This window comes from Homo sapiens, chromosome 18 (genome assembly GCF_000001405.40).
Source record: "Homo sapiens chromosome 18, GRCh38.p14 Primary Assembly".
Lineage (NCBI taxonomy): Eukaryota > Metazoa > Chordata > Mammalia > Primates > Hominidae > Homo > Homo sapiens.
In genome coordinates, this window is record NC_000018.10 from 997,394 (window position 1) to 1,018,940 (window position 21,547).

At 41.5% G+C, this 21,547-nt stretch overlaps 1 long non-coding RNA gene across 1 annotated transcript in view, besides 3 other annotated features; it reads left to right on the plus strand.

Annotated features, from left to right (window-relative positions):
• LOC107985165 (uncharacterized) overlaps positions 1-21,547 on the plus strand; it is a 110,408-nt gene that overhangs the window by 46,265 nt on the left and 42,596 nt on the right. The gene's annotated exons all lie outside the window — the stretch shown is intronic.
• Positions 5,275-5,569: a silencer, noted in NCBI's record as "tiled region #14540; HepG2 Repressive non-DNase unmatched - State 24:Quies, and K562 Repressive non-DNase unmatched - State 8:EnhW". NCBI's record gives its function as "represses a minimal TATA promoter and a strong SV40 promoter by Sharpr-MPRA in HepG2 and K562 cells {active_cell/tissue: HepG2 | K562}" and the evidence as "EXISTENCE:reporter gene assay evidence [ECO:0000049][PMID:27701403]".
• Positions 13,662-14,861: an enhancer, noted in NCBI's record as "MED14-independent group 3 enhancer chr18:1011056-1012255 (GRCh37/hg19 assembly coordinates)". NCBI's record gives its function as "activates an origin of replication core promoter dependent on BRD2, BRD4, P300/CBP and CDK7 cofactors, and independent of MED14, by STARR-seq in HCT116 cells {active_cell/tissue: HCT116}" and the evidence as "EXISTENCE:reporter gene assay evidence [ECO:0000049][PMID:35650434]".
• Positions 17,718-18,279: an enhancer, noted in NCBI's record as "OCT4-NANOG hESC enhancer chr18:1015112-1015673 (GRCh37/hg19 assembly coordinates)". NCBI's record gives its function as "activates a minimal SCP1, AML or CMV promoter by ChIP-STARR-seq in primed H9 embryonic stem cells {active_cell/tissue: H9 hESC(primed)}" and the evidence as "EXISTENCE:reporter gene assay evidence [ECO:0000049][PMID:30033119]".

Here is a 21,547-nt window from a genome sequence, read left to right on the forward strand (position 1 = left end):
GGGAGGCTGAGGCATGAGGTTCACTTGAACCCAGGCGGGAGGTCGAAGTTGCAGTGAGCCAAGATCACCCCACTGCACTCCAGCCTGGGTGACAGAAACAAGACTCCGTTAAAAAAAAAAAAATAAAAAAAAAAAGACTTCCTGACCCTGCTAGGTACAATTCCTTGTTTGAAATATTTCCTTTGATGTCCATGTAAAAACCATTGTTAAGTCTGTGTAATTTAAAATAATAATTACAATCACATTCTAAAGTTTTGTGTAATTCAAACTTCTATTCATGCTGAGTTAAAGAAATGACATCATCATGCTTATTTTTATTTTGAAACACCTGATGTTTTTCCTTAAAATGGTAACTTTCTAGACATCAGATTCAGGATAGTGTTTACCTCTGGATGGGGGTAGGGGTGGAGGTGGGGGTGAGGGAGAAGGGTATAAGGAGCTCTCCAGCTGTATAGGTAATGTTTTGTTTCTTAAGAAAGATGGCAGCTTAGGAACAGAAAACCACACACTTCATGCTCTCACTTGTAAGTGGTGAGAATACATGGACACAAAGAGAGATACAGCAAACAGTGAGGCCTACTTGAGGATGGAGGGTGGGAGGAGGGAGAGGAGCAGAAAAAATAACTATTGAGGCCAGGCACGGTGGCTCACCCCTGTAATCCCAGCACTTTGGGAGGCCAAGGCGGGCAGATCACCTGAAGTTAGGAGTTCAAGACCAGCCTGGCCAACATGGTGAAACACTGTCTGTACTAAAAATACAAAAATTAGCTGGGCATGGTGGTGGGTGCCTGTAATCCCAGCCACTTGGGAAGCTGAGGCAGGAGAATCGCTTGAACCCAGGAGGCAGAGTTTGCAGCGAGCTGAGATTGTGCCACTGCACTCCAGCCTGGGCAACAGAGTGAGAGTCCATCAAAAAAAAAAAAAAAAAAAAAAAAAACAAAAACCACCAAAAAATAACTATTGAGTACTAGGCTTAGTACCTCGGTGGCGAAATAATCTGTACAACAAACATCTATGACACAAGTTTACCTATTTAACAAACCTGCACATGTGCCCCTGAACCTAAAATAAAAGTTAAAATTTTAAATTTAAATTTTAAGATAACCTAAAAAACCTAAAATAAAAGTTAAATAAGGGTTCTTTTTAGATCTAAAGAAAGAGCCCTTAGATTGGATTTGCCAGATTTGTCTATTTTATTGGTTATCTCAAATAAACAACCCTTGGAATAAAAAAAAGACGTGCCAGCTTAATGTTAATTGTGCTAGACTTTATAACTTTTTATGTCTATTTAATATTGCATAATTTAGCATGGGTATTTCTATACGGATCCAAACTTTGAAAAATAAATGGAATAAATTGGCTGAGCAATCTTATTTATTTTATTTTAAAAAAAAGTTTTAATAAAGAAATCCTGAAAGATTCCTGCATTTTAAATTCACCTATTTATTCAACAAACACTGAGCACTTATTGCGCTATGTGATGGAGCTATAAAGAGCGTTAATATGTGGCTCCAGGCCCCAGCAGATCTCCCCTTACAGTAGGGTAAACAAACACATAAACATATGTATAAGCTATATAATACTATGACCAGTGATACAACAGTTATTTAAAAATGGGCTGTGATCGTTAAAGTTGCATGTGAGTCACACGTGCAGCTAAGTATGCTAGGGCAGTCACAGACGGCTTCACAAAAAGAGTCTCTAAGCCTCCCTTTTCCTTAATTATTTCAAAAGCATGCTTCCAGGGAGCCTCCCTCTGTATTGGGAGCTTATGGGAACTATTTATTCTGAGGCCCCAAGGGCTGATGGAAAGAGGAGATCTTAAATAGCACAGGTGGCTCGTCTTGTTTTCCTGCTGACTGTGTGCTACGGAGGCTTTTTTTTTCTTTTGTTTTTTTTAGATGCATCCTTTTGTAAATTTCTCTCTTATCCAAGACTGATGGATGCTTTACCTTAAGGAGGAGGCCTTTATTCAAGTCACATTGGTAGACTGAGAGGACAGTAGCTGTTGACCTGGGTCATGTGAAGAGGGAATATTGGCTTCAGTGACTGATTTCTGCCTTGCCTCGTTTCTATGTTTTCTCCTTTATTTCAGAAATACAGAGAAGGGGTAGAGGATGGAGGAAAGGGAAAATCAGTTCAGGGGTTCAGTTACACTCGTCACGCAATTTGGACATGACTTGCCTCCAAAACATTGTCTGAGCAGTTTCACTGGAGGAGGTAACACTTGGGGGTTTTATAAATTGAATTTGGTGCTGATGAAAGACCTGGCTTAGAATCTTGGTGTTAGGTTTGTTCCTCAGAGGCAGAGCTGCCCAAAGGGCAGCAGTGAAAGGATAAGTTAAATGAGAAGAGTGCCCTGGGCCTGAGGTCCCAAGGACCTAATGAATGTCTTATGCATCTTGATAGTTGGGGATTGCATTTACAAAATTCACTTACAAGAAGGTAGGGATAGGCACAGGAGCTGATCACAGGCTGAATAAAAAAAAAAAATCACTCTTGCTTCCCCAACATTATTTGTGTGTTTCCTTTAATTTTCATTAGACTGTTGTACTTGTCTGCCTTCCTACCACCAGCAACATTACTCATTCCTTTCTCAGCAATTGCCAGGTTAGAGAGCAGTTTGGGGACCTCATTAAATCTTCAAGATTTAATAATTTGAGATGCTTGACTAGAATAGTCTTGGAAAAGTGAAGCTGATGGTAATTCAAAACTTTTCCACTGCATAATACTCAGGGCTGATATCTCATTCCTGGAGAGTATTACAAATATTCCTTAGCTTCTGTTTTTCTTGACCCACTAATAATTTTCCCAAGAAGATCTATCAAGATTGTTCATTGTAATTGACATTGTGTAACTGCCATGGAAACAACAAGTGATCATTCTTAACAATTTTAATTTGATAAGTAGACACCATTTCTCCTTTAAAATTGCTGAAATTTTAGAAGTCCCAAATAATACCTTCACAGTTAAAGAGAAATAAAATTTAAGATGCAAATATGTAGGCATTTCAGCAAAAGGAATCATGAGAAAAAAATGCCTCATTATTTTCCCCTGCTTCTATGTATCTATCCATTTGTTCATCCATTAGAGAAACATTTATTGAGTAACTATTAGGTGCTAAGCATTGAGAAGAGGCTTCAGGGATAAAATGATGATCAAACAAATGTCTGAGCTCTATAAAACTTACCTGGTGAGAAAGACAGATATGGAATAAATAACCACCTACATTCATCATTGCAAAATGTAATAAGTGCTATAAAGAAAATGTTTGAGGTACTATGAGAACTTGTCATACAAAGACTTGATTTAGCCTGGGGGTCAGAGAAGGTTTCCCTGAGAAGGTGTTTTTTGAGCTAAGGCTTGAGGAAAAAGTAGGTCCTAACTAGGCAAAGAAAATGGAGTGAAGCTCTCTGCAGCTGTAGAACAATATGTGCAATGGTCCTGGGGTTGGAGGGAGCATGTGCATTTAAAGAGCTTAGGGAGGCCAGTGTGGCTGGAGCTCCAAGAGAGGCGTGAAGCACTGCATTATGAAGCTGGTACCAGATCATGCAGGACCTTGTAGTAAGAGTCAAGGATTTTGTGGTTATACTAAGAGAATAGGAAAATCATTTGAGGGTTTTAAGCAGGGAATGGCATGATCATATATGAATTTTGAGACATTGCTAATTGTAATACAGAGAATGGATATTGGACAAGAGAAAATTTCAGGGAGCCAGCAAGGAGGCTACTGCCTAATGCAGGTGAGAAGTCCTAGTAGATTGAATTAGATAGTGGGGGTAGAGACAAAGATTGGTGGAAGGTTTGAGTTATTCAGCGATAAAATTGAGGCCAGGCGTGGTGGCTCACACCTGTAATCCCAGTACTTTGGGAGACCAAGGCAGGTGGATCATTTGAGGTTAGGAGTTTGAGAGCAGCCTGGCCAATATGGTGAAACCTCGTTTCTACTAAAAATACAAAAATTAGTCAGGTGTAGTAGCAGGTGCCTGTAATCCCAGCTGCTTGGGAGGCTGAGGTGTGAGAATCGCTTGAACCTGGGAGGTGGAGGTTGCAGTGAGCCAAGATGGCACCACTGTACTCCAGCCTGGGTGACAGAGTGAGAGTGTGTCTAAAAAAAATAAAAATAAGAAAGATAGGAGTTGGAAATAGAAGTAGATTGGAAATAGAAGGTGAGGGAGGCAGAAAGTGTTAAGCCTTACTCCAGTTACCTGGTTGTACCTTTGTTGTACTTATTAAGTGTGATACTTGCTACTGTGATAAAGATCATTGGAAGAGCATCAGATTTGGAGTGAAAGTTGTGAAGCCTGTTTTGCATATGAGCATTTGAGGTGCCTTTGAGACAGCCAAATGGATAATATATGGAGTAGACAGTTGTATGCAAGTCTGGAGCTCAGAGGAGAGGTCCGGCTGGGCCATGCCAAGTTGTTGATGTACAGATTGCTATTGAAGCCATATTTTGGTGAGATATGGGCTGGGGTGGATGAACTAGCTAATGCAATTTAGCTCAACATGGTCACATGGAAGTTTATACAATTTTAGCATTGGATGGAAACTTAGAAGTTACCTTTAAAGTTTTGCTTCAATAATAAAATAATTTTTGTTATTTCCAGTATAACACACTCATTATTAAAATTTTTTGGAAAGTCTAGCCCTCTCTTGTCTTTCCTTGTTTTTGTAAACAGATGAGAAAACATAGAACTCATGAGATGAAAGTGGCTCTTCTTTAGCAGCAGAGCTGGGATAACAATCCTAAATGCCCTAAATCCTAAAATAACTAAAATTATAGTTATTTTATATTATGGTTATAAGTTGTTTTTAAGCTAGGAGTTTTTTTGACATGGAGGAATAAGATCTTGGATAACAGAGAACCTTTCTATTACTATTATTTTAATTATGAACAGGACCATTTCTTAACAAAGGGTCATTAACAGCAGGACAGTGTAGGCCCTGGGTGACATAAATAGTATAGCACAGAAAGTCATCCTTTTATCTTCCCCTCTCTTCTCCTCTAAAGTTACCTAATTTCCCTAATACCATTCTGATATGGAGAGGGCCAGGTCATACTTGGAGATTTCTGTTATTTCGGACAAATTTGTAGTTTCATAGCTAATTGAATTACTTATATGCATTCATGTACTTCTACAGTTGGAAAAGAGCATTGTTTTCTATCTTAGTGCCATGTCAGGGAAACAAGAGTTAAAGACAATAGTTTCCTTGCTCTTCCCTAGAAATGAAAGGGTTCCAGAGCACCTAAATGAGCTGCTGACGAGCCTAAGTAATAGGAGCATACCTGGCAGGAAAGAATGAATTGAGAAGATAGACAAGAGTTCTTCTGTGCTTTTTGTTGTCCTGGGACAGCCAAGGTGGGAGCTCTTAGAGCAAGGAATTTCCAGAAATCACAAGCAATGATCTGACCTCAAGCCATGGAAAAGGCTAGCTCACTGGAAGTGTAATTAATCTTTCTGGCAGTTTCTTGCTTTCAAAACAAGAATGAATCAGGGATTTTATCTGAGGTTAGTAGTGAGTCATTTTTAAAGAAAAAATCTAATCAAACTCTGGACATCTGGGGCCACCTTGGAAGATGGGATTCTGACCTCTTATAGTAAGTTGTTTCTCATCAATATTCCTATCTGACGAGAAGAAACTATGATCAGTTCAATTATATTTTTGCTTATCTATTAATAGATAATGATGCATGCAATTTAGATGGTAAATGAATTGGCATTTATCAAGTACCATTCCAGGGAGAGAACTTATCTGACAGACACAAGTATCTCTGGTGCCTGTATTTTGGTGCATATCATAGGTTGGGTTCCCTGTGAAGCAGACACTGAGATGAAGATGAACATTCAGGGTTCATTAGGAGTGCCCTTGTAACCAACATCTGTAGAAGGAAGGCAGGATCCTTGGACGGTGGGTGAGATAGAGCCATGAGACACAGTTTCAACAGAGGTCTCAGCCAACTCTCTGGGGAGACCTAAAGCTGTCATGACCCTTTGAAGTTGTCCTGAGTTGGGCCAGAGCCCAGGCCATTGTACTCCCATGTCAATCAGTCATTGAATGCTGGCCATGATAGGACGGGGGTGTGACCTTAGGTGAGGCAGTTCTCTTCAGCCAAGGTAGTCCACATCAGGGCCTGGTAGCTGAGAGCTTCTGCCTTCAGAACTCTCAGAAGGTGAGAGTGAGTCCTTTGTTCCTGATGGAGGATTGGGCAGCATATCACGGTGGCCAACACAGTCCACTCCTTGGGCCATGTCTTAGTCCATTTGCATTGCAATAAAGGAATACCTGACTGGGTAATTTGTAAAGAAAAGAGGTTTATTTGGCTCACAGTTCTGTAGGCTGTATGGGAAGCATGGCACCAGCATCTGCTTCTGGTGAGGACTTCAGGAAGCTTCCAATCATGGTGGAAGAGAAAGGGGAGTTGGTGAGTCACATAGAGAGAGAGAGGAAGAAAGAGCAGAGAGGTGCCATGCTTTTTCAAATGACCAACTTTTTTTTTTTTTTTTTGGAGACAGAGTCTTGCTCTGTCGCCCAGGCTGGAGTGCAGTGGCACAATCTTGGCTCACTGCAACCTCTGCCTCATGGGTTCATGCCATTCTCCTCTCTCAGCCTCCTGAGTAGCTGGGACTACAGGCGCCTGCCATCACGCCCGGCTAATTTTTTGTATTTTTAGTAGAGACAGGGTTTCACTGTGTTAGCCAGGATGGTCTCGATCTCCTGACCTCGTGATCCGCCCACCTCAGCCTCCCAAAGTGCTGGGATTACAGGCGTGAGCCATCATGCCCGGCCTCAAATGACCAACTCTTGAGTGAACTAATAGAGAAAGAACTCACTCATTACCATGGCAATGGCACCAAGCCATTCCTGAGGGATCTGCTCCCATGATCCAAACACCTCCCACAAACCCCACCTCCAACACTGAGGATGAATTTCAACATGAGATTTGGAGGGGACAAACATTCAAACTATATCAGGCTATTTTGATCCACTTCTTTGTATAAGTTCTAGAAGCAGACACTCTTAAGATTCCAGGGGACCTCTTTCTCTCTCTTGCACATTTAGAAGAAAAAGGTAATTGGAAAAACTATAGTCCCTGCATTTGTGGCTGGTCTTGGGGCACAACTGACACTCACACTCACTCTTCTCTCCTCTTCATTCTAGATTTACATCACCCTTAGTTAACACCTCAGCTGATCTCAAAGGCTGACTTGTTGGTGTGACCCAGACCTTCTTTCCTGAAGGATCTAAGCCCTTGGTCATCATGTCTTCCTCTGGCTGAGATTCCTGCACTTTTCCATTTACCATCAAAATAGGGCCAAGGAGGAACCAAGCAGCACCCAAGTGGATCATCCAAGTGTCAAACATATTCCTTCCTCCTTGTGGTATAATAGCAGCCCTACATCCTCCTAATAATCGGCCAATTGCCCCTGCTAAGATGATGGTGCTTTTTTGTGCCTGCTGGTCCCTTGGTGTGAGAAGCCTGAAGTGCCCAGGTTGAAGCTGTAGCTTATCATTCAATGAGACTTTTGCTGTGTCCCCTGGAGAAAGCATTTCCTCTTTGGGTACCAGGATCTTTAAAACCGCAGAGCCCCAAGTTGTGGGGGCAGGAACCGCAAAAAGCCCCAAGTGGGACCCTTGGAACAATGATACTTGGGACTCCTGTTTCTACTCCTCGGTTCTCGGACCCATATATTTTCCCTACTGGGGACATAGTAGGTTGACTATATACCTATAAACATTACTTATTTAAAATGTACACTGCACCCTGGAGGATAGCCCCCTAACCTTGCAAGGTAGTATTTGTGAGTTGGCAATTCCACTGTTCTTTCAACAGGCTGTTCCATCATTTCATCAGCCTGTCAACTTCTAGGTGTTACAGCATTTTATATGAAAAGTAGATTTTATGGTTGTTGCCCTCTCCTATAGCTCCTTTGCTGTAATATGCATACCTTAGTTGGATGGAATATTATGTGGGCTACTTTGCCAGTCCATCAAATACTCAGTAAGCCTTTGGATAGTAGTGCTGGCTGGGGCCCTGTGGTAGGAAAGGCAAACCCCAAACTCAGCATAGATATCTATTCCTATGAGAATGAGTAATTGCTCTTTCTATGGAGGGAGGGGTCCCATGTAGTCAGCTTATCACCATTGGGTGGTTGGCCCCTTAATGGATGGTGCCAGACTGGGGACTCAGCATTGGCTTCTGCTGTTGGCAGGTTAGACATTCAGCAGTTGCAGCAGCTAGATCACCCTTGGTAAGTGAAAATTCATTCTGTTGAGCTCACACATAGCCTCCATCCCTGCCATCATGGTCACTCTTCATGTGTCCATAGTGTCTGCCATGGGTGGCTATTGACAGAGGCTGGCTGAGTCATTCTGTCTATTTGGTTATTTAGTGCCTCCTCTGCGGTGAATTACCTCTGATGGGCATAGAAATGTGATGTAAAGACCTTCATACTTTGTCCTATCCTATATATCCATCCACATGTCTCTACCTAGACCTCCCGATCTTCCATTATTTCTTCTTCCGGGCTCCGGACCAATCAGACAAGCCATTCACTATTGCCCATGAGTCCATGCATAGTCTATCCTTGGGACACTTCTCTTCTTACAAAGTAGCTGACCATGTCCACCACCCAAAGCTCTGCTTGTGGAAGGATCTTCCCTTGCCACTGTGTTTTAAGGCAATTCCCGAGCAAGTTGTAGTGCAGCCATCATCCAGTTTTGTCTTTCAGCCATATATTGAACTCACCCATTTATGAACCAAGCTCAGGCTTTTTCTTCTCCTATCAGCTGGTCAAAAGAAATTACACATGTGAGCACAGGTGTGTGCTGAGGGACAGACTGGTGCAACAGTGGTGGATGACCTGTGGTCTGGTCTACCTGCTTGTACAGCACGGTTGTGCTCTGTGGTGAAACTGTGTTTAATCCTACAGTACCATTTTCATGTTACACTGAATTACTGCTGGACCTGTCGTACTGCTGTTGTACAGCATGGTCGTGCTCTGTGGTGAAACTGTGTTTAATCCTACAAGTACCATTTCATGTTACAGTGAATTACTGCTGGACCTGTCCAACCTATGACTTGATGATTCATACATATCCAGGTCACAAGGGGGCAGTTCTGACTGCATGATCACTTGGTGTCCCATGGCACTCCATCTCCACCAGTGCTCAGTAACATGCTAACAATAATTTCCCAAAAGGTGCATGATTAATTCTGTGACAGGTAGCATGCCCCAGAGCCCTGTGGATCTGCATTATGATTCTTCCACTGATACTGGCCATAAAATGCACGTGGCATTTTTGCTGACCACTGAGGCATCTATTACCATAGGGTCTGCTGGAATATATGGCCCAAAAGACAGATTGCTTGACCTCCAGCCTGGACTTTCTGTATATCCCTTTCCTGCTCCAATCCCAACGAAAAGCTGACAACTCTTCCTGCTCTGGACCTTCACTAAAAGCTGGAAACTTGGTAGATGTGTTGAAGCAATATTCCCAGGTATGGAATATGCTGCCCTCAGAATCCAGAGAAGCTGATCAGGCCTGAGGCACTTCTTCTTTATGGGGGGAGATGCAAGTTATCTTATTTGTCCTTTACTTTGGAGATGACGTCCTCGTCTGCCCCAGTCCATTAAACATCGAAAATTTTTACTGATATGTTGGGGTCCTGAGTCATTGGAAGGCATATTTCCTACACTTGAGAGTTCATGTGTCTTACCACGGCCTCCGGTGTACCTGCTGTATCTTGTTATCTGCCCTGGTTTGAACAGTGTTATCAATAGAGTGGGTCAGTGCTGTGCTATCTCAGAAGTCCAGTCAGTCCAGGATTGTTAGCTTATGCTATGGCAGAGGGGAGGGTGGGAGAATTAACATAATTCTGGAGCACGGCTGTAAGTTTTTGCTGTTGTTCATTTCAGGTGAATGCAGACTCTTTCTGATCTTCTTTTCTAGTAGGGATGGAAAAAATGCCAGATTAATGGCCACATCCTTATGTGCCTGAAGCTGCTCTAGCAAAGATTTCACTTGTGGCACAGTAGCTGCAATTGAGGCTATTACTTGGATGAATTTATGGTAATCCATGTAATTTTTTGGGATACTTGTAGTTTTTGCAGAAACTAGAATGGTCAATTAAATGCATAGATGATGAAGTGGTAATCCTCATCACCCTTCGTCTTTCAGTTCTTTCAGTATGGCATGAATCTCTGCCATTATCCCGAGGAGACAGTGTTATTTTTGATTGTCTGTCTTGGTGGTAGTGGGGGCTTGCAGTTTCAGAGGTAACCTCTTGGCCTTCCACACTGCCCTAAGTCTCATTCCACAGGCCAAGGAGCAAATGTAGGGGTTCTGCCGACTAGCAAGGGTGTCTGTTGCAGTGATGCATCTGTGGACCAGGAAAATGACACCAGGTGGGTCAGTGAACCAACTGTGCTCACCATGAACTGGACCTGGGTCAGGGCTCCATTTATCACTGGCTCCTATGGGGGGGCGGTCATGATGATACCTCAGTTTTCTGGATTTCTGTGTCAACCTCATAGGATGTTGCAGGAAGGCGGTGTGTGCCTTAGGTGAATCACTTTCTTCAGCTAACGCAAATCCCTGTAGAGACTACCAGCTGAGGGCATCCTCTTTGCAGCAACCCTACGAGTGGGCAAGTAAGTTCATCATTCTTGAAGGGGGACTTGGACAGTGCATCACAGTGTTCCCACTACATCCGCTCACCCTCCATCCCCACCATCAATATTCTCCTGTATTCTGCTAGGGGTGTATGCAGAGTAGTTAGTGAGGCTTAGCTTTGGAGCCCCTCACTTGCATGGGCCCCTTCCCAGACTTTGAACCTAATGTTGTATACTTTTTCTTGAAAAGAGCCCCCCAAATGTCGATGCTTCACAAAACTCAATTCTTCCCCTGATTCTGCTTTATTTCCTTTCAGTTTGAGAAGAGGAAGATAAAGGAAATTGACATTCGAGTGCTTACCCTGTTCCAAGCACCAGGCTTGGTGTTTTGCATGTATTGTATCGTTTAAGTTTGAGGATGTTATTTGGATTTCTCCAGAGTTCACAATCTTTGACTTCTGTGATGCATATGCTTTTCCTTTTGCCTGGAAGGTCCCTCCTCATTTTGCTTGTATTTGGAAGTCTTTCTCATTCTTTTGTATTTAACTCAAATACTGTCTTCTCTGTGAGTCCTTCTTCATCCCTAAAAAAAAGCTGGGTGTTTCTCTTGGCACCTTGTGGGTGTCCCTCACTAAGCTCTGCTCTCGGATCACAATTGCTGTTTGCACCTGTGCCTCCCTTGCTCCTTGCTGAGTTTTGAAGTGGCAGATTTCGTGCTGTTCACTCTTGCATCCTCAGGGTCTAGCACAGCTCATATTATAAAGTGGCAGCGCATTCAATATCAGTTGACTTCTTGAGATGGCATTGATTCTCCAGTCCAGAAAAAAATGTCTCAAGAGCATCAAATTCCCTTTCTTTTGAGGTCTGAGCTCATGAAGTTACTTTTGATAAAGAAGCTTGATTTCCTAGTTTCTTGATAACTGGGTGAAGATGTTTTAGAGAAAAGAAACAGGCATGTCCTATAGTAGGGGGTATATTTTCACTGCAAAAGAACAAATCAGCATTCCAGTTTATCCGTCAGATTCTTGAGAATATTTTAGCCAGAGTTAGCCCTTCAGAACTGGAATGTTTCTAAGTTAATAGATAAGATTGTATTTTAGAAGCTAAAATAAAAGTTATAGAACCTGGTCTCTATATGTATTACCAATCTATATATTCATTAGGATTTTTTGTTCCAAAATGGGGTCATCCTATGTATTCTGGTTTATAAATTTCATAACAATCAATAAACAAACATTTATAGCATCATTCTTGTTTTGTCAACAGTATTCCATTAAATAAATATGCCTGAATTTATTTGATCAATCTGCTTAATTTTTAAAGGCTCTTTCTACTTTTTGCTATTAAAACATATATCACCTTTATGCATATATAAGTATATGTATTTATATGTATGTATCTTTGCCCACATATCTATTTCCTTTAGATACATTTCTTAAAGTGGAATTGTTTGGTCAAAGGATGTAACTATTTTAAAAGACATATATGTATGTATGTTTGCATATTTATTTTGCTACTTTGGCAGAGAATGTCATGCCTCTCATCTGCAGTGGAGATTTGTTGCTAGGAAGCAGGTGCTCCCAGCTCCCCTCAGTGGGCCTGTGTGCCTGATTCTCTCCCAGGGACTCAGAGCAGTAAGTATGTCACTTCCCAGACAAGGTTGTTAAAATGTAGGTGTGCCTTTTCAATGGCCTCCCTCTTCTCTGGTCTCTCAGCTGAGTGTCGAATTATGGGGTAGCACTGGAAGCCACACTCAAGGTAGTGTAGGCTGTCAGTCAGGCTCTACCATCCTCTCTGTCAATGAGAGGATGAGGGACTCCTACCACCAGTCAGGATTGTCCACCTCAGCCCCTAGGTAACTGAGAAATAACTTACTGTGTGAAGCTCCTGACATTAGGGGTTCATCTGTTACAGCAGCCAGTGCTTCTGATCAACTATAACTAGCTTGTCCTCCAAGAGGGTTGCTCCTCCACCAACAGCTTAAGAAGATCCTATCCTTGTTCCCTTCAGTCTCACCAATACTTTTGTGGCACTTAAAAATTGGCAGCTTCATAGCTAGTGAGTGGTACATCTCAATGTTGTTTTATCTTATAATTCTTCCGAGTCCTAGTAAATTTCATGTGTTTATTGACTACTTGTATTTCTTCTTAGCCCAGACACCTATAACTTTAAAAATTCCTGGAAGGCCAAAAAAAAAAAAAAAAAATCTAAGTTTTAAAAGTTCTTTTACATGCATATTTATGAAGACTTGAAATACTATCTTTAAGCCAAAAAAATCTAGGCTGAATGAACATGAAGTAAGAGAGTAACTTCAATATAGTTCATTTGGGGCTGCCAACAGTTTCTTATGGGGTTGTGAGCCAATCTGAGGGGGTGTGTATAAATAGAAAAAAAAACCTTAACAGAAGTTGTTCAATTGTTTTAATGAGTCTTGAATCCACTGGATTAAGTGAAAATTCATCTGATTTAATTGAGTGACTCTAATTGGTAAAGAGAAGGGAATCAAATAGGCTGTGCAGTATAGTTATCCAAGGTTCATTTTATTTTTTTCTAATTTACTTCTGATGGTTTACTCTTCTTCCTTGGTGCTCTGTGGGCAGATTCTAAAAATAGCCTAGTATTTATGGAAATATACTACAACAGATTTAGGGACTGATCTGTGTATTTGGATTTGTTTTTATGTTGTTAAACCAAGGGTTATTTTGTTCTTTAAGTTAGATTATTGAACACAAAAATAGCCTATGATAAATCATCATGTTTGTTGTTAAAAACCTAAGTTTACAAGAGGATGAGGTCACCTGCAGAGGTAATAGGAGGGAAAGGGGAAAGTCTGGAGGAAGAATCAGACTGGCTTGGAAGAAGCAATGTGTTTCTGCCTGATGGAAGGCACAATTCTCCCATCTGGGCCCTGTGGGTCTAAAACCAGGCCCATCTTCTTGGTGGTAACTGGTAAGGCAGCCAGATGGATCTCAAAGAGATGGCTGGATGGTGCATAGTAGACAGCTTGACCTCAGGCGTGGGGTTTCTAGCCTTCCATTTATCTTCCTACCTCTGGCAGAGCATAGAAGTCACAAGAATTTTCTGGATCTGAGAGAACATGTAAATCTGGGACAGTGGGTATCTCAGCAATAATTTATGAAGACAGATGACCTTGACATGACCCTGGAGACAGGGGCATCCTCACCAAGCTGCAGGATGGGGACTGAGCAAGAAATTAAGTTTGTTTATTGAAACCTGGACTACTGTGCACACCTGAGTCAGTGGACAGAGATTAATGTCCATTCTAACTGCATTTCCTGGGGCCAAACATCTCAGATCGTTATGTGCTTAGGAGGAGTCATAGTTTTATTTAATTGCATTTGTTCATTTACTATAATTTGATAATATTTCCTATGAGCACACATTTAAATAATTATTCAACTAAAACGATATTTTCCGAGTTAGTCTGGCAAAGGGGCTTTGGAATCAGAAGACTCCAGTTGTGTATGATCCCTCAGCACATGGTTCAGATTTGAATTTCATCATGACTCAGCAGAAATTAGAGCAGATTTATTATGTGCATTTAACTCTGGGTAGAGTTATGTGCAGAACATATTTCTTAAAGTCATGGAAAGTAGTACAAAGTGCCATTGAGCTTCAGTCATAGGACGCTGGATCTCAAATCTTAGAAGACCCTGGAGTTTCTCCCTGAATCTCTGTGTAGGAGTATATGAAATTTCAGTCATTGTATTCAGCTTCAAGTTACTATACTTTGAAGAGGAGAAGTAAGAGGGATGTTCCTGGGGATAGGAACTGTGCTGGCTCTGGCTTGGCCAAAGGCTGGATTCTGGAAAGCCGAATGTCTTATGAGAATGGACCTTCCCACCAAGTCATGTTCTCTATCTAGTTTGATTCAAGACACGAAGCCACATGGGTGATGGCTGGGCTCTCACGGTGGTTTCTGAGTTGCTGCCTTCCTTCCAGTGTAGCTGATTTTGATAGGTACTTGGGAACTGATTCTACTAATGCAGATCATGAAAAACCAATCTCTGGTTTGTTCCCCATTAATAGTCTGCAACATTTTCAGAGTCATGGCTGTTGTCAACATTGTCAGTGGGTGAGAGTGGCTAAAAACCCGGTGTGATTCCAGTTGTTAGGAGTGCAATTTATGGGAGTAATGTGAATATGTTGTATTGAGTTTGTAAGCTCAGATGTCTGCCAAAATGTCTGGAATGCCTAAACTTAATTAGACCAACTGCGTTGGGGTGTTCTGAGGCAGGACAACATCACGTGCTAGGGCGCGCCAACTTTCAAGCTAAGGAGAAATAGGTGGATGCCCATAAAGGGACTACAAAAAGAGAAGCCCTCAGTCAGCCCTACCTGCTCCACTGAGAAACAGACTCACGAGGACAAGATGCTGCCACTCAGAAAGGGACCTGGAGCCAGGCATGCCGTCTTTTTGACTGGATGCTTCGGCCTCAATGCTCCAACCTTGATGCAGGAGGAACCTATTCCTGGATGCCCCAGGACTTGTATGACCAATTCTATGCCTATTCCTGTAAGATTGGCTCGTCGTAGAAGGGTAAAAAATGTTTCCAAGCAGGATAAAAAATAGGAATTGTGGGCAGTGTGAATGGGGATAAAATACCTATATTTGTTAAGAATTTACATGCCAATAAACTGTGTGACTCGAGCATTCAGTTACTGTGTCTCTCATCCTTTGCAGCTTAATCCACTGCACATAATACCAGAGCATTCTGACTATGGCTGCATGGAAGCCCACCTTGACTGAGGGTCCTTCTCACCTCTTGGATGTCCTCTATGTGGGCTCTGCTGCTGTAGCAGCTTCTGCCAGGTCATGGTAATGCCAAGGGGCTTGAAGTCCTGCTTCAGTTCATCTTGGGAGTGTTTCTCTTGGATGAATTGCAGTTCTTTTGCATAGACAACCACATAGTGACTGTAGAGGTGTTAACCACCTCCCACACAGGTTCTGCCTGGCTGGGCTAGTTGCAGCACACACCCCAGGCTGCACAGAAGGTCAACTTGGTGTAGTTTGCAAGGAGATCAACGTACCTAACATCTATTTTCTGAGTCCTGAAAGACCACTCCTAAGGCAGGTATGGGTCTGTTTGGTAGTTCCCCTTTGTGCAGGGGAATTCTGTTAATCACCATTGTGAAGGGAGAGGAGAGTTACCTAATAATGTCTCGATCCTCTCTTTGCATGCGTCTGCTGTGAAATTAAAGATTTTAAACTGACCTGGGGAACTGGGTTGATTTGGAGCAGCCCTGAGCTCTACTCTGTTCCATGAACCACGTATTTTTTCTTTTTTTTTTTTTTAAAGCTTGAGTCCAGGAGTTTGAGACTAGTATGGGTAACACAGTTGAAACCCCATCACAACAAAAAAATTAGCTGGGCATGGTGGCATGTGCCTGTAGTCTCAGCTACTCAGGATGCTGAGGTGGGAGGATTGCTTGAGCCTGGAAGGTTGAGGCTACAGTGAGCCATGTTTATGCCACTGCACTCCAGCATGGGTGGCAGAGCAAGGTCTTGTTTAAAAAAAAAAAAAAAATCAGTCTTGTATTTGACCCTAAACCAGAATTTTAATATTGGGTCTTTACAGGGACCTCTGTGTTTTCTACATTCTTTTTTCTTCAAACTACTGATTAAAACAGGTATTTATTCTTAATTTTTAAAAATATGTCTCAGCAGATAATACCACAAAGCCGATGATCCGATAATACTTCAGACCCTAATTCTTTGAGTGGGTTTTGGAGGAAGCTGGTTAGTGAGAGTGAAGCCCCTATTTCTGTTATAACAGATGTGGTGAGATGCCTGGGTAGGCAGCAATCGCTGTCCTAATAGGAACAGGGAGTGGTAGGTGTGGGAGAGGAGGAGCTGAGTCAGGAGAGGCTGAATTAAAATTGCAACCTCAATGGCTTGTTGCAGTGAATAATTTTTTCTTGATCCTACATGGTATTTTTCAGGTCCTGATGCTCTACTGAGCAACTCCCTTCCAAGCAGTGATCTAGGAATCCCATCTTCTTTTTAACATCTTTGTTATCTTGGCATGTGGATTCCAGTCCACAGTGCCAGGGGAAGGAAGAGCTGGAGGCTTGTGCCTGAGTTTTTTACCACTTTGCCTAGAAGTTACAATGGTACCTCAAGTTAGAGTTCATTGGCCAGGATTAGTCATCTGACCCTGCCTAACCACAAAGAGGCTGGGAGGAGTAGTCTCATTCTAGGAATGAGAGTGGACCCTGATATTTGTGATCAATAGTAGTGCTTACCCAGTGGAAGATATACCATAAGATGAAGCCTCCTGCTGTGAGGTGGAGCAGCTGCGGGGGCATCTGCCTACAGTCTCCTTCCCACCAGGGACCATGCTGCTGGTTTGGCATCTCCAGCAGGGGATGTCCACCTTGCATGTATGACCAGCTACATCTCTCCCTGAGAGCTTCTGCCATGGAGCAGTGAGAAGCAGAGGGAAGCAGTTGGTGTCACTCTTTGTCTCCTGCACTCAGGAAAGTTTTTCTTATTTCTAAGATTCCTTAAAAGTTCTCGTTTTGCTTAGACCATTTGGATAGGTAAGTAGGATTCTGAAAAGCTGCTGCTGATTCCTCCGGCTCATTTAGGAGCCATCTGGAAGAGGCCTTAGGGCCAAGGCGGATGTGTTGTTTCCCCAGCCTCTGAGAGCCGTCCCTAGGGAGCAAATACACATACACTCAGGCTATAAATCACTTCTCTCGTTGGTGCTAAATTAACTTTTAAGCCTTCTAAACTCCTGAACCAGCTGATAGCAGGAACCTGGTAGCAGGATGCTGAGCCCTGTGCTCAGCATTGATTAAATATAAATTGCGTTTGTTGCAAGATTTAATGCATGCATGAATAGAGGCCACAGTGGTTCCTAAATGTTGGCCTGTGACTGGCTGAATCAGAATCACCCAGAATACCAGGTAAAAGATTTTCAGGCTCCATCTCAGACCCACTGAATTAGAATTGCCTGGACTGAGGCACAAGAATCTGTGCTTGAATTAAGCTCATCACTTACATGTACAGTGAGGTTTGCAATGGACTCACTGCAGATGTGGAAAGGGCACTGAAAGGTTGAGGCTCTGTTAGCTGGGTTTCAGTCTTCACTCTGATGCTGTGTGATCCTCAACAAGTCACTGAACCTTTCTGGTCTCAGTTTTGTCATATGCATCATGATGTGATTGAACCTATTTCATTAAATGAAATAGTACTCAGAGCCCCAATATATAAGCAGATAACATATATAAGCCCCAGTATATAAGCAGAAGGCAGTTCTGGTGGAAGGAATGGTCAAGTTAAACTTTTATTCTGAAAATGGTCCTTCAGGGCTGCCAAGAATCCTAGGAATTTCTGTAATGTAGTCTGAAACACTTCTGGCAGAGTGGTCATTAAGGTTCCTTTTAGTGTTGGAAGCCTTTGAGGCCATGGGGGTGGGGCATATCTCTCTGTCTCTGTTCCTGTCTCTCTCTCTCTGCCTGTGCCTTTCTCTTATTATCCCTTGTCTCTGTGTGTCTCTCTTTCTCTCTTCTTGTCTCCTTTTCTTTCTGCTTCTGTCTCTACCTCTTTCTGTATCTGTTTCTCTGTTTCTGTCTTCTTTTCTCTTTCTTTGCTTCTGTATCTCTCTCCTAGAAGAGATGAAAGCTCAGGACATACATTTCTTTCCAAGTTCTCAGGTGATACATGGCAGAGATTTGAGAGGAGAATATCTGAAACCCATTTGAAGGAGCAAAGTTGTTCTTGTCTGTAGATTTTTAAAAAAATTTTTAATGGAATTTGCAGGTCCAGGCCATGATTTTCTGAAGCTGAATTTATCAACTTACAGGTTTTCACATTTCTTAATAGATTTGACCAAAGTCCTGGTAGGTAAAGCAGGCATTTGCTTAATAAAAATGTATGATGTGGTGTAGGCTGTGTAAGCAGACTTTTGTTTTATTATTGCATTTAACCACTCCAACGCCCACTGAATTCCTGATTATTTCTGTTGTGGGGATGCCAGGTATTTATTATATTAGAAGGATATGAGATTAGGCACGACAGAACTCCTTTAGGAGTAAGAGGCTTAATTAGGTTCCAGAATTGTCCTGGTTTAGCACAAGACTGGATCCTACAAGATCTGAATTTAGCACATTTAACAGTTTAATTTTAAAAATAAAGTCACTATTTCCAACATCAACAATAATGACAACTACCATGTGACTTCTAGCTTTCTTAATATTTTCACTCCTAGATACTTTAGGACACAGTTCCTAAGAACAAGGACATTCTGACAGTATAACCACATATCATTCTAACACATAACTGTAATAAAATTTAGTGAGGTTAATTGACATTAAGATAATACTATTTTCAATTATTAGTCCAGATTCAAATTTTACCAACTGCTATTCATTTGTTCATAACAATACCAATATGAATTTTCACATTCATTTTTGAACTTGAATGTGCTAGCCCTATAGTTGTAGTAAGAAATAAGTGCCATGAGATAATTAATCTATATATTCATCCATCATTCCATATTATTAAATAATAATACTTAGGGATACAGGGAAGAAATTTCTAGGAGTGTAGATAAAACATTATTTACCCTGAAGATAGTCCAGAGGTATGCATGGAAGTTAGGCAGAAAATCACAAATAGAACATGTTATGATAGAGAAAACCACAGACTAATATAAAAAAAGGTCTGATCTCATTAATAGAAATGAGATCAGAAGGAGATGGTTTGTGGATGCTAAATTGGAGCCTGTCTTTGTAGTATACAAAACAGGTGGAGACTTCCTGTGGGCATGTAGATTTGTAGTTTTGGAGAGAGATTAAGACTAAAACCATAGTTTGGAAAGTATCATAGAGAGGAGAAAGTAGAAATCTTGAAGGGGTTACATTTTTAAAGGGGTAAACATAAAAAAGTAAGGATAGAAAATTAAAAAGAAGACAAGATCCAGAAAGCCCGCACACAGAGTCTCATATAGGAACTACTGTCTCATCTAATATTTTTTTATCAGGTTATTTGTTTATTAGAGGACTGGGTAATTGCAATTCATATTTTGCTATGCCTGAAAACTTTCTATAATCCATCTTCTGCTTTGGACTAGAGGGTCTGAAGAAAACAGTCCATGCACAAGTTTAAACAGAAAGTTAAAAATTCATAGTGGCCTTTTTCTGTTGAAATTACTATATGAATCACTATTATTTGGGAGGTTTTTTTTTTGCCTAAAATAGGTAACATCCTGTAGATGGGCTCTCACTATTCTATTAATTGAACTGCTGGCATGTTTATGTTTTGAGACGTATTCTAGCACTATTAGATTTGCCAGATGAAAAATACAAAGACCAGTTCAACCTAGGGGATAATCAATTTTTCATGCTCATTATCATTTAGATGAGTCTCTTATAAGGGAATGGTTTCAGCATGACGCATTTTAATGCTGAGTAACACCTCATTCCTCTAGGTAGTGAAGAGGGAGCCTTATATATGCTCTCAGCGAAAATGTTAAGATCTTAAATTACAGAATAAAGAGGAAATCAAAAGGAAATTTGTGAAAACAAAATGAGAGCCAGAGAAATGGTAAAATTTATTGCCAGAAAACTTTTCAGTTTGATCAGTTTTTATAGTTCCTTAACCTTCATCGTTCTTTGTATGCCTCCTGCCTGTCCTGAAGGGAAAAAGAAAAGCATTCAAAGCTTAAGCACTTTATTAAACCTTTTATAGCTTGACACCATTTGGAACCATTTCAGTATTTCATATTGAAGACAAAGACATGTCTTTCTGAAAAATTAAAATGAAAACAGACCCAATTACAGTGGCTTCAGCAGTCTTGGCTGAGGGCTGAACGTCTGACAGCTGCACGACACAGGGCTTTATCCATGTAACCAGCGAGTGGCCTTAGAGACCTGATTATTGGAAGGGTAGAGGGTCCTGTGATTCTAGCGCTTTGATTAATCAATTTACTAACACTTACTAGATCTTACACTTACAGTGGGAATATTCCAAGTAATCTCCCCTTTTCTCATTCTGAAATATTTAAGAAAGGTGTTAATACTGCGTGGGCTGTCTCTTAAGGGGTATGATTTAAAAGCTACTTCATAGGTGTGCTTAATTCTTATCTTTTCAAATGGATTTTGGCCTTTGGCTCTGGCTACCCAGACTACAAGCTTAAACTCATATAGCCTCTTCTATAGTGAGCTCATACTGTCCCTTCTCATGGGGGATTACCCAGAGAGGTGTGTGTACATGTGGCTTGCAACACATGCAATCCCATCAGACATATGTGCCCATATAAGGGAATATGGAACAGAAGAAATGACTTTTTAGGAATGTGAGGACTGGAATGGGAGAACAAAGAAATACTGCTGCCTTCCTCCAATATCTGTTAGGCTTTTCTTTTTTTTTCTTAAAGTATGGAAAGTTTATTCTTTTCACCATAAAAGCCTCTGGCAGTGATAAGCATGATTTCCAAGATTGTACGTAGCACCAGAAGAGCTCCAACTAACGTGCTCAGCTTCGATTTCAGCATTGCTCATTAGAGCAACAATGCAAACCAGCTGTCCCCTGGTGTTTGGCGAAGAAAGATCCAATTAACTGGCCGTCATCCACCTGGTTCCAGATTTAGCCCTCTCCTTATGAGTCTGTAAGAGCAGCCAGTTTGCATGAATTTTTGTCATTAAATTCAAGCCAGGGGGTGAGGAGCCATGGGGGGTGGGGATGGATATTCTCTGGACTGCTGTGGAGGGTTAAAATAAAGTGTAAGGCCCTCTAGAGTTTGGACATCTGGAAAGGCGGCAATGAATTAATTTATCAAGGTTTTGACCTTAACACTGTTCCTTATATTGCATACGTCAATGTGAAGTCTGGCAGTACACAATGTCTCTGTGAATGTGAACATAGAACCATTTTGGGACGTAATAACCTTTGCTTGGAT